Source organism: Homo sapiens, chromosome 2 (genome assembly GCF_000001405.40).
Source record: "Homo sapiens chromosome 2, GRCh38.p14 Primary Assembly".
Classification (NCBI taxonomy): Eukaryota; Metazoa; Chordata; class Mammalia; order Primates; family Hominidae; genus Homo; species Homo sapiens.
Window position 1 is genome coordinate 222,736,738 of NC_000002.12, and position 16,879 is coordinate 222,753,616.

Consider the following 16,879-nt stretch of genomic DNA (forward strand, 5'->3'; position numbering starts at 1 on the left):
TCAAATTACTCACATTTTATATTAGCTATTTTTAATTTGGAGATGTCACTTTTACATCTTTCATGTCTGATCCATGAGTTACAGGGGTTTTTTTTCTAGATAAAAGGGATATTTAGAGATTGTCTCATCCAAGATTCTAAATCTAAGGTCTCTAAATCTATAGGCTTTAAGTACCCATGAACTCCCCCAAATGTAGCCCTCAGAATCTTGTCATTCATTATTGGTTTTCTCAACCTTCTTTTTATTAGTAGCACTTGTCACCACCTGAAATTCTCATGTATTCACTTTTGTCATCAAGTCTGTGCCAGAGCTCCGCACCGTGACTATGAGTTCCAGGAGGGTAACACTTCATTCTGTCCTATTCACCGCTGCATCCCACGGTTCACAGAACAGGACCTGACGTTCAGTAGATGCTCAATAAACATTTGCTGACTGAATGAATGTGTAAGCCAAGGAAGTCCCAGTTCAATATCACATTCCACAAACTCACACATCCAATTCCACAATCCTTTTTAAACTATGTAATTTCTGGAGTTTCTAGAATAAGTAACGAAAGGAGGTGGGAATATCTTCCAAATATACATCAAGCTTCCTAAAAATCCTCTTTACCCACCCATCTCTCCCACATTTCACACATCAAGGCAGAGATATCTTGAGCTGCCTTTTCTCATTCTTCCCAAAACTCTTTATGCTGGGACCTTGTCATCTTCATTTCCTCTCTCCTCTGTGCCCCCAAATCTATTCTTTTTGTTGAGATATAATTTATGTACCTTAAAATTTAACTTTTCAAAGGCTACAAATCAGTGATTTTTAGTATAGTCACAAGACTGTGCAACCATCACCAATTCCAGAACGTTTTCATCACCCCATAAAGAAACCTGTGCCCATTAGCAGTGCATCCCCATTGTTCCATCCTTCCAGCCTCAGGCAACCACTAATCTACTGTCTGTCTCTATAGATTTCCCTGTTCTTGGCATTTTACATAAATGAAATAATACAACCTTTTATGCTTGGCTTCTTTCCTTTAGCATCATGTTTTCAAGGTTCATCCATGTTGCAGCATGATATGAGTCCCTCATTCCTTTTTATGACTGAATAAGATTCCATTGTGTAAATGTACCACATTTTGTTTACCCATTCCTCGGCTGATGGGCATCTGAGCTGCTTCCACTTTTTGGTAATTATGAATAACATTGCTATGAATATTCATGTACAAATGTTTCTGTGAATATTTCTTTTCAGTTCTCTTTGGTACATAGCTAGGAGTGGAATTGCTAGGTCATGTTTAGCTTTTTCAGGAACTGACAAATTATTTTCCAGGGTAGCTGAATCACTTTTACATTCCCACTAGCAATGTGTGAGGGTTCTAATTCTCTACATTCTTACCAACACTTGTTATTGTCTATCTTTTTTATACTAGCCATCCTAGTTGATGTAAAGTGGTATCTCATTGTGGGTTTTGATTTGCATTTCCCTAACGGCAAATCAGACTAATGAGACTGAATATCTTTTCATGAGCTTTTTGGCTACCTTCACTGGGGATATGTCTTTTCAAATTCTTTGCCTATTTTTAAATTTAGTTATTTGTCTTTTAATTGTTGAGTTAGTAAGAGCTCTTCACATAGTCTGGACACAAGTCCGTTGTCAGATAAATGACGTGTGAATATTTTCTCTCTTTCCATGGGTTGTTTTTCACTTTTGTAATTTTGATGAAGTCCATTTTATCTACCCCAGATCTATTCTTACCTTCTACATCAGCGCCCTGACCTTTCTTAGGTAAATCAATCCAGCCTCTCTTGTTACGTCCAGTTCTCCTCTCTACAAGTTCCTGATCTGTTTAACAAAGATCCTGAGGAAAGTAGAGCAAATACAGTATCTTCTTCAGAATGTGAAAAGATGAGTAATGTTTGTCACCTATATTTTCATAGTTTTGTCCCTTTCAGATATACAAAAAATACCGCCCAATGGGTTCACCTTACCCACTGCCTACACAGAGCCGATTTCTCAAGACGGGAATCACAATAGAGAAAGGATAATTAATGCAGAGCCGGCTGAGCAGGAGACTGGAGTTTTATTATTACTCAAATCAATCTCCCCCAACATTTGGGGATCAAAGTTTTTAAAGACAATTTGGTGGGAGGGGAGGGGCAGTGAGTTGGGGAGTGCTGATTGGTTGGGTCAAAGGTGAAATCATGGGGCGTCCCTGTCTTCTTGTGCTGAGTCATTTCCTGGGTGGGGGGGTCACAAGGTCAGATGGGTTGGTTTCTTGATCTGGGTGGTGCTGGTTGATACATCAAGGGTAGAGTCTGCAAAACATCCCTAAACTGATCTTAGGAGCAGTTTAGGGAGGGTCAGAATCTTGTAGTGCCCAGCTATGTGACTAGTAAACCATAATTTCTAATCTTGTGGCGAATGTTAGTAGTTTAGTCCCCAGGCAAGAAGGAAGTTTGTTACGGGAAAGGGCTATTATCCTCTCTTTGTTTTAAACTATAAACTAAGTTCCTCCCAAAATTAGTTCAGCTTATGTCCAGGAATGAACAAGGACAGCTTGGAGGTTAGAGGCAAGATGGAGTCGTTTAAATTGGACCTCTTTCACTGTCTCAGTCACAATTTTGCAAAGGTGGTTTCAATATTTAGGCACAATATGCATTTTTCTGAGCAGATGAGTCTATAGATTTATTTCATCAGATTTTCAAAGCTGTCCTTGATGCCAACAATATTAAGAAATGTGCATGTAGACTCATTCTCTTGTGTTTCAGGAAAATGAGACCTAGAGCAGTTGAGTGATTTGGCCAAGGCCACCCAGCTTAGTAGTGACAGTTCTGCAGATACTCAGTATCTTGGTCTGTTTTTGTGTTGCTGTAAAGGAATATCTGAGGCTGGGTAATTTATAAAGAAAAGAGGTTGGCCTGGCACAGTGGCTTACACCTGTAATCCTAGCACTTTGGGAGGCCGAGACAGGTGGATCACTTGAAGCCAGGAGTTCAAGACCAGTCTGGCCAACATGGTGAAACTCCATCTCCACTAAAAATACAAAAATTAGCCAGGCATGGTGGCACATGCCTGTAATCCCAGCTACTTGAGTGGCTGAGGCATGAGAATCACTTGAACCCCAGGAGGCAGAGGTTGCAGTGAGCCAAGATTGTGCCACTGCACTCCAGCCTGGGTGACAGAGCAAGATCTGTCTCAAAAAACAATAAGAAAAAAAAAAGAAAGAAAAGAGGTTTATTTGGCTGATGGTTCTGCAGGCTGTATAAGAAGCATGGTGCCAGCATCTACTTCTGGTGAGGATTTTACGGAGCTTCCCCACTCATAGCGGAAGGTGAAGGGGAGCTGGTGTGTGTGGAAACCACATGGCCAGAGAGGAAGCAAGAGATGGGGCAGGCACCAGGCTCATTTTAACAACCAGCTCTGGTGAGAACGAATAGAGTGAGAACTCACTCACTGCCCCGCCCACACACAGGGAGGGCAATCATCTATTCATGAGGGATCTGCCCCATGACCCAAACACCTCCCATTAGACCCCACCTCCAACACTGGGAATCAAATTTCAACATGAGATTTGGAGAGATCAAACATCCAAACTATTGCACTCAGGTTTCCTTATCTTCCTCCCTGACTCACCATCACACCATCCCACTGTACCATGATGCCTACAGAATTTCACATTGCAGGTAAATTTCTCCAGGAGCAGCACATGAATCCAGTACCAATATTTTATCAAATATTTATTTTTCAGAGACTAAGGCCAGGCAGTATTGACTCGGAAGGCTGTGTGGGAGCTGGAGAACCAGGTGAGTCTTGGTAGGAAGCAGAAGCATCGGTCCTGAGGCTCCTCATGTTTTCAAGGTTCATCCATGTTGCAGCATGATGAGTCCCTCATTCCTTTTTATGACTGAATAAGATTCCATTGTGTAAATGTACCACATTTTGTTTACCTATTCATCGGCTGATGGGCATCTGAGCTGCTTCCACTTTTTGGTAATTATGAATAACGTTGCTATGAATATTCATGTACAAATTTTTCTGTGAATATTTCTTTTCAATTCTCTTTGGTACATAGCTAGGAGTGGAATTGCTGTGGTCCCAGCTACCTGGGAGGATGAGGTGGGAGGATCACTTGAGCCTGTGATGTCCAGGCTGCAGTGAGCCGTGATCACGCCACCGCACTCCAGCCTGGGCAACAGAGTGAGACCCTGCCTCCAAAAAAAAAAAAAAAAGCCGAAATCCTGATAAAGCTCAAATTAAAAAGTCACAAAAAGAAGAGTGGGGGAGGGGATGGTGAAGATAAGGTACATCACCACCTGGTCTGGGCTTGGATGGAAACAAACTGCAGATTTAAATCAAAGGCGGTGCATATGGTGAGAAATGGATGCGGAATCATGAAAATTAACACTTACTTAGCAAAGTGGGAAACAAGAAAGATGGTACAACTGACAACCTTAAGTGATCCCTTCTCCCATTGTAGACAATTGAAGAATTTTCTTTAGGCACTACAGTCAAAGACTATCTTAGAAACTTTCAGGCCGGGCACAGTGGCTCACGCCTGTAATCCCAGCACTTTGGGAGGCGGAGGTGATCAGATCACCTGAGGTCAGGAGTTTGAGACTAGCCTGGCCAACACGGTGAAACCCTGTCTCTACTAAAAATACAAAAATTAGCTGGGCGTAGTGGCAGGCACCTGTAATCCCAGCTACTCTGGATGCTGAGGGAGGAGAATTGCTTGAACCTAGGAGGCGGAAGTTGCAGTGAGCCAAGATTGCACCACTGCACTCCAGCCTGGGTGACAGAGCTAGACACTGTCTCAACAAAAAAATAAAAAGAAACTTTCTGGCCAACTTTTTAGTTCTGGGCTTTTTTTTTTTTTTTTTTTTTTTTTTTTTAGCAGTCAGCAAATAAATTTCTAAATGCTTACTTGGGCTTCAAGGTTAATACTTTGGCTAAAAAGTCTGTCTAGTGTAGTAATATGGTACCAGTGTTTACTTCCTGGTACTGGTAATTGTACTATTTATGTACAATGTTGACATAAGGGAAACTGGGTAAAGGATATGTGGGAATTCTGAACTTTTTATTACAACTTTCCTGTAAGTCTAAAATTATATCAAAATAAAAAGTTAAAAATTAAAGAGAAAAAACTTTGGCTGAATTTTTTTATTTTTTGCATTTCCAGAAATTTATGTTGTAGGAATATTTTCTTTATGAAATCATAATGCAAAATAGTAACCAATAAACAATCAAACATAACAAGCCTTATTGAACTTGTATATTTATTTTATTTTATATTTGGAGTAGATGTTATATTTTTAACATTCAAAATTTAAATATTAAAGAGTATGTAGTGAAAAATTTTCCTCCACTTTTAGCCACCACTCATACATACACACGCACGCGCATATACCACCTTTTTTTTTTTTTTTTTTTGAGTTGGAGTCTCACTCAGTTGCCCAGGCTGGAGTGCAATGGCATGATCTTGGCTCACTGCAACCTCCGCCTCCTAGGTTCAAGCAATTGTCCTGCCTCAGCCTCCCGAGTAGCTGGGATTACAGGCGTGTGGCACCACACCTGGCCAATTTTTGTATTTTTAGTAGAGATGGAGATTCACCATTGTTGACCATGCTGGTCTCTTGGCCATGAACTCTTGACCTCGTGATCCACCCACCTTGGCCTCCCAAAGTGCTGGGTTACGGGTGTGATATATGCCATGCCTGGCATATATCAACTTTTATACACGTGGCTGCGAACTCATAAACAATTTTATTCTATTTTGAAGTTAATTTTAAGGAAACAAAAGATATTACAATAAGGCATCATCTTTGCTAACCCCACTCCTACAACAGAATATTTCATTATTATTTAGTTAGTTAGTTGAGGTGGAGTCTTACTCCGTCGCCCAGGCTGGAGTGCGATGGCGCGATATTTACTCACTGCAACCTCCGCCCCAGGGTTCAAGCGATTCTCCTGCCTCAGTCTGCCGAGTAGCTGGGATTACAGGTACTGGCCACCATGCCTGGCTAATTTTTGTGTTTTTAGTGGAGATGGCATTTCACCATGTTATCCAGGCTGGTATCGAACTCCTAACCTCAAGTGATCCACTCCCCTTGACCTCCCAAAGTGCTGGGATTACAGGTGTGAGCCACTGCGCCCAGCCTATTATTATTATTATTGAAACAGGGTGTCAGTCTATCAGACAGACTGGAGTGCAGTAGTGCAATCAAGTCACTGTAACCTCAAACTCCTGGGCTCAGCCAGGGGCAGTAGCTCATGCCTATAATCACAGCACTTTGGGAAACCAAGGCAGGAGGTTACTTGAGCCCAAGAGTTTGAGACTAGCCTGGGCAACATAGTGAGATCCTGTCTCTACAAATAATGAAAAAATTAGCTGGGCATAGTGGCACAATCCTGTGGTCCCAGCTACTCTGGAGGCTGAGGCAGGAGGATTGCTTGAGCCCAGGAGGTGGATGCTGCAGTGAGTCATGATCATGTCACTGCACTCCAACCTGTGCAACAGAGAACCTGTCTCAAAAAAAAAAAAAAAAAAAGCGACCAACTCCATGTCCTCCCTTCCACTTTCTCCCTCCACCTTTCGTTCTGAAGCTTCTAACGTTCAGTGATTTAAAATTTCACTTTTTGTGCCTAATGTAGTCACATGTCAATATTGCAGCAATTCCTAGTATGCCTCTTGGTAGAAGAGAGGAAAAGCAATTCCTCTGCCCTGGGGAATGCCCTCAGAGCAGCTGATGCCATCCTGCAGCAGAGTCCATTGGCATCAAGACACACACAATCAGGGCGGCTGAGCTGGTGGTGGGCTATTCACAGAGGCTAAGAAGTTATAACACAGGAAATAAGTCAAGATCCTTCTTTGCCATTTAGACTCTGAAAGCAGTGATTGGGGGCATTCTCCCGGCTTCCAACCAAACACGCCACTTCCTTTTCTTCGCTCCAGCCTCAGACTTCCTTTCTCTCTTGCTCTCGTACACACACCACGCGGCATCACAGGAAGGGCATGAGACAAGACCTTATCTGACAATTGTATCAACAAAGCCTTTGGGAAAATAAAAATGAGGACTACTAAGTAGAGTCCATATATAGTCCATAGATATATGTAATATATATATGGAGTTACCCATCATCCTGTTTAGCAACCTTTATGCTAATTATACATTAAGTCCAGAAAAATATGCTCTCCTATCTTGGACCACCTTCTAGTGTTGACAACAATGCCAGCTGCAAGCTTGGGGTCAGGTCAGCAGATCAGCAGAAGACCAGGAAACGCAAACAGATGGCCTCCATCTACATCTGCCCCGAGTTCTAGAAGGCACACAGGCTTAAAATAAAAAATTTCTCGTAAAAATCCTGATTTCTAGTGTCTATTTAAAAATGAGGGTGGGAGGAGGGACAGGAGTAGAAAACATAACTATTGGGTACTGGGCTTAATTCCTGGGTGATGAAATAATCTGTACAACAAACCCACATGTACTCACAAATCTAAAATAAGTTTTTTTAAGACCGGGTGCGGGGGTCACGCTTGTAATCCCAGCACTTTGTGAGGCTGAGGCAGGCAGATCACTTGAGGTCAGGAATTCGAAACCAGCCTGGCCAACATGGTGAAACCCCATCTCTACTAAAAATATAAAAATTAGCTGGGCGGGGTGGCAGGCGCCTGTAATCCCAGCAACTTGGGAGGCTGAGGCAGGAGAATTGCTTGAACCCAGGAGGCGGAGGTTGCGGTGAGCCGAGATTGCGCCACTGCACTTCAGCCTCGGCGACTCATCTCAAAAAAAAAAAAAAAAAAAAAAAAAAAAAAAAAAATTTTTTTTTTTTTAAAGTAAAACGAGAAGGCCTGGCAACGCTGGGGCCTGCATTTCTGCATGGCAATAAGTGTCAGGAGATGATCCGTGAGTGGGCCTGTTTAGAAAGGGCTCACGCTCTCCCGTTTACCCCAGTTCCTCCTATTCCCTAAAGCAGACCATTTGGCTGGTTTCACTTATTTATGTTACTGGCCTGGTTTTCTGAAAACATTTGGGTTCAGGAGATCTGTGTTCTCCTTTCCCTAAACTCTGTCATGCAGGACTATGGGGTAGGAGGAAGAAAGAAAAGATAGTAGAACAGCAAAGTCTCCAGGCTTTTTTAAAAAAAATTGTGGTGAAATACACAGAACATAAAATTTACCATCTTAACCTTTTTTTTTTTTTTTTTTTTTTGAGATGGAGTCTCCCTCTGTCGCCCAGGCTGGAGTGCAGTGGTATGATCTCGGCTCACTGCAACTTCTGCCTCCCGGGTTCAGGCGGTTCTCTTGCCTCAACCTCCCAAGTAGCTGGGACTACAGGTGCATGCCACCACACCCAGCTAATTTTTGTATTTTTAGTAGAGACGGGGTTTCACCATGTTAGCCAGGATAGGATGGTCTCGATCTCCTGACCTTGTGATCCTCCCACCTTGGCCTCCCAAAGTGCTGGGATTACAGGCAAGAGCCATTGTGCCTGGCCTCATCTTAACCATTCTTAAGTGTACAATACAGTAGCATTAATTACATTCACATTGTTGTGCAGCCATCATCACTATATCCAAAACCTTTTCATTATACTAAGCAGAAACTCTGTAACCATTAAGCAGGCATTTCCCATTTCTCCCTCTCTCCCAGCCTCTGCTCATCTCTAATCTTATCCTCCAGGAGCAAGCATTTACTTCCTGGAGCAAGTAGATAAGATGGATTTGCTTATTATTTAACATCAGGACAATATTTCCTATCCCAGTATTGTTTAACACAGACACAGGAAATTATATGGGTTTCCATCCTCATAGGTAAGGAGCGGGGAATCTGATCTTGACTTGAAAAGCACATATTCATTGGCTGAGAGCCACAAGATAAGGAGGGATGGTAGGACCATCAGGAATAAAGCTGGGATGAGAATTCAGATGGGAATTACAGTCCTTCAGGCCAGTTCACTGAACCTACACCAAGCTGAATTCCTTCGCCCTTCATTTGAATTTGAAATTGTAGATACTTTTTAAAAGCTATATTATATGAACTGTATATCCAGATGGGGTTTTCCCAATGTTTTCAGTGTTGTCAGCCATTGAGGTAGCAGAATTCACCTCCTCTTAGTACCACCATCCATACACCCATGCAGTGGACCGCCCCCCTCCCCACACACACACACAAACACACAGACACAAGTGCACACATACGGCTTCTATTTCCTCCCACATCCCCTTTAACACAACTCTACTTAGTCTAAAATTGACAAAGAGCCATAAGAAAAACTAGGCCAGCTTCACAAAACACTGCATTGTTTTTGAGAAACAGGGAAAAATAGCACGTTTGTTAGCTTTAATCTGATACGTATTTGCATGTGCTGCCGTTTCAATTCTTACAATACTTTTGAGGTATTAAACTTCCTACATTTCTAAATGATAAAATCAGAATTTCATATCAGTTTCATTACAAAGGTCCACTGATGTGCTAGATTTTTGTCTGACAAATACAACTTCAAAGTTTACCACAATCACTTGAAACAACCAGTTAACGATAATGTTTTACACCAGAATTCCTTTTGAGAAAGCTCATTATTTACTGGAAAGAAATATTTTGCTAAGTTACTTGAGCTGGGAGGGTGAGATCTCAAGGACATGATTAAGTAATAATAAGAAGAATAGTAGAGAACACATGGAGCCTGAATCCTGTTAAACAGGAGCTCACTTGTTCCACTGCTCTGTGAGTTGATTTTGTGTGTGCCCGTTTGGGAGTGATAGCAACGAAAGCAGATTGTCCCTGCATAACACAGAGAGGAGACCTGGCTAGCCTGGCACTGCTGAAGAAAGGAGAGAGATAAACAATTCTCGGTCATGGTACATCTGAAAGCAGATTGAATTGCAATATCTAGTATTTGGCTATAGGGTATGATTGTAAACCCCTGGGTCAGGGTCTTTCATCTCTGGCACTGTTGACATTTTGGGCCACGTAACTCTTGATGGTGGGGCTGTCTTGGGCACTTTAGGATGTATAGCAGCATCCCTGGCCACTAACCACTAGATACCAGTGGCATCTTCCTGCTACCCACAGATATGATAACCAAAAATGTCTCCAGACATTGCCAAATGTGCCAAAATCATCCCTGGTAGAGAACCACTGGTAAAGTCCAATTTGCTTTTTTTTTTAAAAAAAGAAGTCAACAGTCAGCAGCCAAGATGAATGCTTTTATAATAGGAAACAGGACGTAACTATAGGCTTATTGTACTGGGACACTTTTGTACTAATGTTGTAGACATGTGTCATGCCCATACACATTCAAGTTTCAAATAAATGTCTGATACATATTGCAAAGACGAGAGGAACCAAGAGTTTGATCTTCTGCAAATTCCTAGTTCCCCTATGCCATCAACCTTGAACTTGCCTTTATTATAGCACTTTACCTTATACCTTCACTCCTGCATATATGTGTCTGTTTCCTTTGTAGCCTGCAGCACTTTTATCTCCACTGCCCAATACAATTTTAAAATTATTCTAAGCCGAAGTCACGAAGTGGCAGCCCACAGACCTGAAGCTATGTTTTATTTAGGCCTATTAAACCTCGAGAATGTTCATATTAAAACACAGATTTACCAGCCAGGCGCAGTGGCTCAGACCTGTAATCCCAGCACTTTGGGAGGCCGAGGCGGGCGGATCACGAGGTCAGGAGTTTGAGACCAGCCTGGCCAACATGCTAAAACCCTGCCTCTGCTAAAAATATAAACTAACTATTCCATTAGTTCTGTGCCTTTGGAGAACCCTAAGATAGGAATCCAGGCACTGGAAATCATACCCAGATTGACTTTTTCACAGCCACCAAAGTAAAAAAGATCCTGCAGATCCTGCAACCTCTAAGTCTGGTAAAACAACAGCAACACAAGCTGACCTCCAAGCCTTTATTGACTTGCTAATTGCGATTCTTACTTTAAGCTTTGCCTCTATGTCCATCTCTTTTGAAGCTGTTGTATTTCCTGGAAACCGCCCCCAGCCGCCCTTTTTTTCAACTCAGTCTCATTATGACTAAATACAAGAAAAAAAATCAGTTTCACACAATAACATGGTGGTCATTGCAGCATTCTATGTTTATAATTGGGCTTTCTACCTGAGCCAAACTGCTTTTCCCACCCTCTTTTAAATAGGCTTTATTTTATTTTATTTTGAGACGAGGTCTCGTTCTGTCTCCCAGGCTGGAGTGCAGTGGCTTGATCACAACTCACTGATGCCTTAAATTCCTGAGCTCAAGTGATCCTCTCACTTCAGCCTCCCAAGTAGCTGAGACTATAGGCATGAGCCACTATAGCTGGCTAATTTTTAAATTTGTTGCAGAGACAAGGGCTCACCATGTTGCCCAGGCTGGTCTGGAACTCCTGGGCTCAAATGATCCTGCTGCCTCAGCCTTCCCAAAGTACTGGGATTACAGGTGTGAGCCACCATGCCTGACTGCTTTATGTTCTTACATTTGTTTTAGGCCCACAGAAAAACTGAGCAGAAAGTAGAGTGTCCCCATATATCTCCTGTCCCCTACATGCTCAGCCTCCCCCACTATCAACACCAAACTCTTAAAATTAGATATTTCTTGTCTTTTTGAAACTCTTAAGCATTCTAGAATATCATATATTTTAGCAAGGGCAGTGTGGTGATTTCCTAACACTGCCAACTCTGTCTTTGATCATTCTGTTTCTTTCCGTTCTCAGCCCTTACCCTTCTTTGTAATTTTATTTTAGAATACTTAATTGTCAAATAAAGATTGTATATATTCAAAGTGTAGAATGTGATGATTGATATATGTATATATTGTGTAATGATCACTACAATAAAATGAAGACATCCATCACCACCCATGCTTTACATTAGATTCCTAGAACATATTCATCATATAACTGAGTGTTTGTACCCTTTGACCAATATCTCCCATTTCCCTCACTCCCTAATCCCTGGTAATCATTATTCTACTCTCCGCTTCTATAAGTTCAACTTTTTTAGATTCTGTATGTGAGATCACACAGCATTTGTCTTTCTGTGTCTGGTTTATTTCATGTGACACAATTTCTCTAGGTCCCATCCATGTTGTCAGAAATGCAGAATTTCCTTCTTTTTTATGGCTGAATTATATTCCATTGTATATATGAACCACAATTTCTTTCTCCATTCATCCATTGATCAATACTTAGGTTGAGTCCATATCTTGGCTATTGTGAATAGTGCCGCAATGAACATGAGCATGCAGATATCTCTTTAACTGATTTCATTTTCTTCAGTTACATAACCAGAGGTAGAACTGCTGGATCATATCATAGTTTTATTTTTAATGTTTTGGGTAACCTCTATATTATTTTCTGGTAATGGCTGGACAAATTTACATTCCCACCAATAGTGTACAGGTGCTTTCTTTTCTCCGTATCCTCACCAACACTTATCCCTTGTCTTTTCTGGAAATAACCATCCTAACAGGTGTGATATTATATCTCACTGTGGTTTTGATTTGCATGTTTCCAACGATTAGTCATGTTGAGCATTTTTCATATATCCATTGACTGTAAGTCTTCTTTGGAAAATGTCCATTCAGGACCTTTGCACATTTTTTAATCAGATTATTTATTTATTCATTTATTTGCTATTGAGTTGTGTGAGTTCTTTATATTTTTTGGATATTGACTCCTTATTGGATATATGGTTTTCAAATATTTTCTCCCATTCTATTGTTAGCTGCCTCTTCCTTTTTTTGATTGTTGTGCAGAAGCTTTTTAGTTTGATGTAGTCCCACTTGTTTATTTTTGCTTTTGTTGCTTGTGCTCTTGGTGTCATGGCCAAAAAAAAAAAAAAAAAAAAAAAAAAAAAAAAAAAATCATTGCTTCCAATACAAAGAGCTTTTTGGCCATGTTTTCTGTTAGGAATTTTATGGTCTTAGATCTTATATGTAATTCTTAAATTTATTTCAAGTTAATTTTTGAATATGTTATAAAACAAGGATCCACTTTTATTATTTTGCATGTAGATATTCAATTTTCCCAACATCATTTGTTAAAGAGAGTTTCCTTTCCCCATTGCATGTTCTTGGTGCTTTTGTCAAAAATTAGTTGACTATTTATTTGCATGGGTTTATTTATGGGCATATTATTCTGTTCCATTGGTCTATGTGTTCAGTTTTATGCACGTACTATCCTGTTTTCACTACTATAGCTTTGTAACATAGTTTGAAATCAGCAACTGTCTCCAGCTTTGTTCTTTCTCAAAATTGTTTTGGCTATTCAGGGTCTTTTTTGTTTCCATGTTAATTTTAGAATTGTTTTTTCTACTTATGTGAAAAATGTCATTGGAATTGTGATAAAAATTGCACTGAAAGCCCTTTAATAACCTTCTTTTATTTTTTTAAAATAAAATTTAAGCTTTTTTTTTTTTGAGACAGGGTGTTGCTCTTTGGCCCAGGCTGAAGGGAGTACAGTGGTACCACCGTAGTTCACCGCAGCCTGCAATTCGTGGATTCAGGCCACCTTCCCACCTCAGCCTCTTGAGTAGCTGGGACTACAGGTACATACATCTACACCTAGCTGTTTATTTTATTTTTTGTAGAGAAAGGGTTTTACTATGTTGCCCAGGCTGGTCTCAAACTCCTGGCTTCAAGCGATCCTCCTGCCTTGGCCTCTCAAAGTGTTGGGATTACAGGCATGAGCCACCATTATCAGGGAGTTTTATGAAGCAGAGAATGGAGGAAGGTTGATTTTCATCAAAAAATTGGAGCATATCACAGTCTTCCGTTTTAGTTAAAAAAAAAAGTCACCTATAAGAAAAATTAAAGCTAAAACTATATTCTGGAGCCATGTTAATAGCTGATATGGTAAATTGCTGCAAATAGCAGTTCCTTTGTAAAAGCCAGAGAAGTTAGAGGAAAATACAGATAAAATAATAGCATTTGGGTTTCTTTCAATATGTATGGCTTAAGGCTCTTGAGCTTTCCTTTGATAAGAATCAGGTCCACAGCTGCTGCTTTTGTTAATGCCGTAATTTTGTAGTGAACTCATAATTTACTGGTTACCCGCTGTATGCAAGGCACTGTGGGATGCATATGTCAAAGAGCGTGCCCACATTTCTTCAGCAACCAGCCACTGTGATCAGCACTCTGCTGGATGTTTTCTTCCTTCTTTTTTTTTTTCTTTATTTTGAGACAGACTTTCACTCCTGTTGCCCAGGCTGGAGTGCAGTGGCACGATCTCAGCTCACTACAACCTCCACCTCCTGGGTTCAAGCGATTACCCTGCCTCAGCCTCCCGAGTAGCTGGGATTACAGGCATGTGCCACCATGCCCTGCTAATTTTTGTATTTTTAGTAGAGACGGGGTTTCACCATGTTGGCCAGACTGGTCTCGACCTCCTGACCTCAGGTGATCTGCCTGCCTCAGCCTCCCAAAGTGCTGGGATTACAGGTGTGAGCCACTGTGCCCAGCCAAATACTAAGTTAATTTTAATCAGCCCCCAATACTGACATAGCACCTAAACTTGGCAATTTACGGCCCAGTTAAGGTTTAGCTTTGTCTTGTTAAAAGAAAAACTTCAGCAGAATTAAATTTAAAGGCGTTTAACTGAGCAATGACCTCACGAAACAGGCAGCCCCCAGAATCACAGCAGATTCAGATAGGCTCCAGCACAGCCACGTGGTGGAAGAAGATTTATAGACAAAAAAAGGGAAGTGACATAGCAAAATCGGAAGTGAGGTTCAGAAACAACGGGATTGAGTACAGCTCAATAAGGTGTTTGACTTATTTGAATACAGTTTGAACACTAGGCAGTGTGTGAGTGGTTGGAGCACGGCTGCTGTGATTGGTCAAGACTCAATGATTGTTACAGGCAAATACTCCTAAGTTAGATTTTCAGTCTTGTCTACTTATTACATTAGGTTGCAGTTCATCTACAAGGACTCAAATATGGAAGTACAGAGTCCTTCTCAGGTCGTATTTAGTTTGCTTTAACAGTCTATTCTCTTATACATGCCTTGCACTGTGGGTTATTAATTTGGGTTAATTGTATGGCCAAGGTGGCTGGTCATGATGAGTCTGATGAGGAGGAATTTTACCCATTTAACAGTTGAGGAAAGTGAGGCTCAGAAACTCAGAAAGGTTTTTACTTTTTTAGGTTTGCCTAAAAATGGTATGACTTTGACTTAGGCAGAATTTAAATCCAGATCTATTTGGCTCCAAAGCCTTCGCCGTGGTCTGGGTCTGAGTATTTGTGGTCCCCGCAAAATTCCTATGTTGAAACCTAATTCCCAGGGTGACAGTATTAGGTGGTGGGGCCTTCGGGAAGTGATTAGGGCATGAAGGCAGAGTCCTCATTAATGAGATTAGGGTCCTTATAAAAGAGGCCTCAGTGGGCTCCCTTAACGTTTCACCATGTGAGGACACAGCTAGAAGGTGCCACCCCGAGCCTGAAAGTAGGCCCTCACCAGACACTGAATCTGCTCCACTTTGGTCTTGGACTTCTCAACCTCCAGAACCGTGAGAAAGAAATTTCTGTTATTTAAAAGGTACCCAGTTTATGGTATTTTATGACAGCAGCCCAGATGGACAAAGGCAGCCTTTTCTCATTTCAGCTCACTACGAGATCTCTTTAACAAAGAAATAAATTTGTTAACATGTTTTCCTATGTAGAATAATATGTTTTATATTTGTTTAAAGAAATGTTTAGTGGGCTCCATCTCCCTACCCTGCAGCCAACCCTGTTTCTCCCCCTGCTGCCGTACTGCAAAAGTAAACAGGATCCTCTGAGGTTCTGTCGAGACAGTAGCCACAAGCCACATGTGGTCTATTGAGCCCTGGAAATGCATGTAGCTCGAATTGAGATATGCTGTAAAATGCTCACAGGATTTCAAAAACTTGCTAAGAAAAAGAGAACGTAAAATATCTCATTCATAAAGTTTGTATATCGATTATGTGTTGAAATGATAATACTATGGTTCTATGAGGCAAAATAAAACAAGAATTCAAATTCATTTCATCTGTTCCTTTTTCCTTGTTTGATAGAATGACTAGAAAGTTTAAAATAATCCATGCTGCTCACATTCTATTCCAAAGGATAGCTCTTCTCTAAGGCACAGGCTGTACTTAGAGCTTCTCCTTTGTTGCTTTCTTCATAGATTAAGTTGCTATTATTGGGAGTTTAGGGAGGATTTGCGAGAAGGAGGGCTGACAGCTTCTTAGCAGGCCTGGTGTTAGACGAGACCCTAATGCTGAGGACTTAACTAGGCTAATCCGCTTGAGCTGGAATTTAGTGCCCTCTGTCATTAATAGAGTTAAGCTCTTTAGCGAGCTTTGGCCTTTGAAAACACTACCTGTCTTTTTGGATTGTATCTTAAGGAATGTAAGAAAGGAGTGGGTGCGCAATAGTCAAAGAACAAAACAAAACATATTCTCACTCTGTTTTGTCAAAGGATAGTGCAAGTTCGATGTTTCTAAATTTGTCTTGAGTTTACCTGGGTGGCAGGCCAAGAGCTATTTCATTGCTTGCCTTCATTTATAAAGGAAATGCCTATGACTGTGTGACCATAGTCCTCTCTTTTTATACTACAGTTGAAAGAGATGGAAAAGTACATTTGCTTTGGAGAGGCTGAGAGACAGAAAGAAGCCCTGCAGGGAATATCACATTACCTCTTCCAGCTGGGAAAAAGACAGCTGGCCCAAGATGGGATTTCAGCCCTGTTGTTAAATAAGCAAACAATCTAATCATGCCATAGAATAATAATAAAATGAAAGTGGAGAGACAAATCCAGGTCAACTCCCCACATTCAGCAGCTGCAGATACAGAGGCCCAGGGAGGCTGGGCCAGTTGAGGTCACTGAACTCCACTACAGGGGTAGCCGATATCTCTAAGTGGTAGAGTT

The 16,879-nt window shown here is 41.1% G+C and overlaps 1 long non-coding RNA gene across 1 annotated transcript in view; it reads left to right on the forward strand.

The window, feature by feature from the left end:
• Window positions 1–3,225: 3,225 nt before the first annotated feature.
• LOC105373903 (uncharacterized) overlaps window positions 3,226–16,879 on the forward strand; it is a 40,146-nt gene continuing 26,492 nt past the window's right edge. Inside the window, exons 1-2 of the long non-coding RNA XR_001739904.2 lie at window positions 3,226–3,794; window positions 13,416–13,537. This is a non-coding gene — a long non-coding RNA (uncharacterized LOC105373903). The remainder of the gene's footprint in view (window positions 3,795–13,415; window positions 13,538–16,879) is intronic.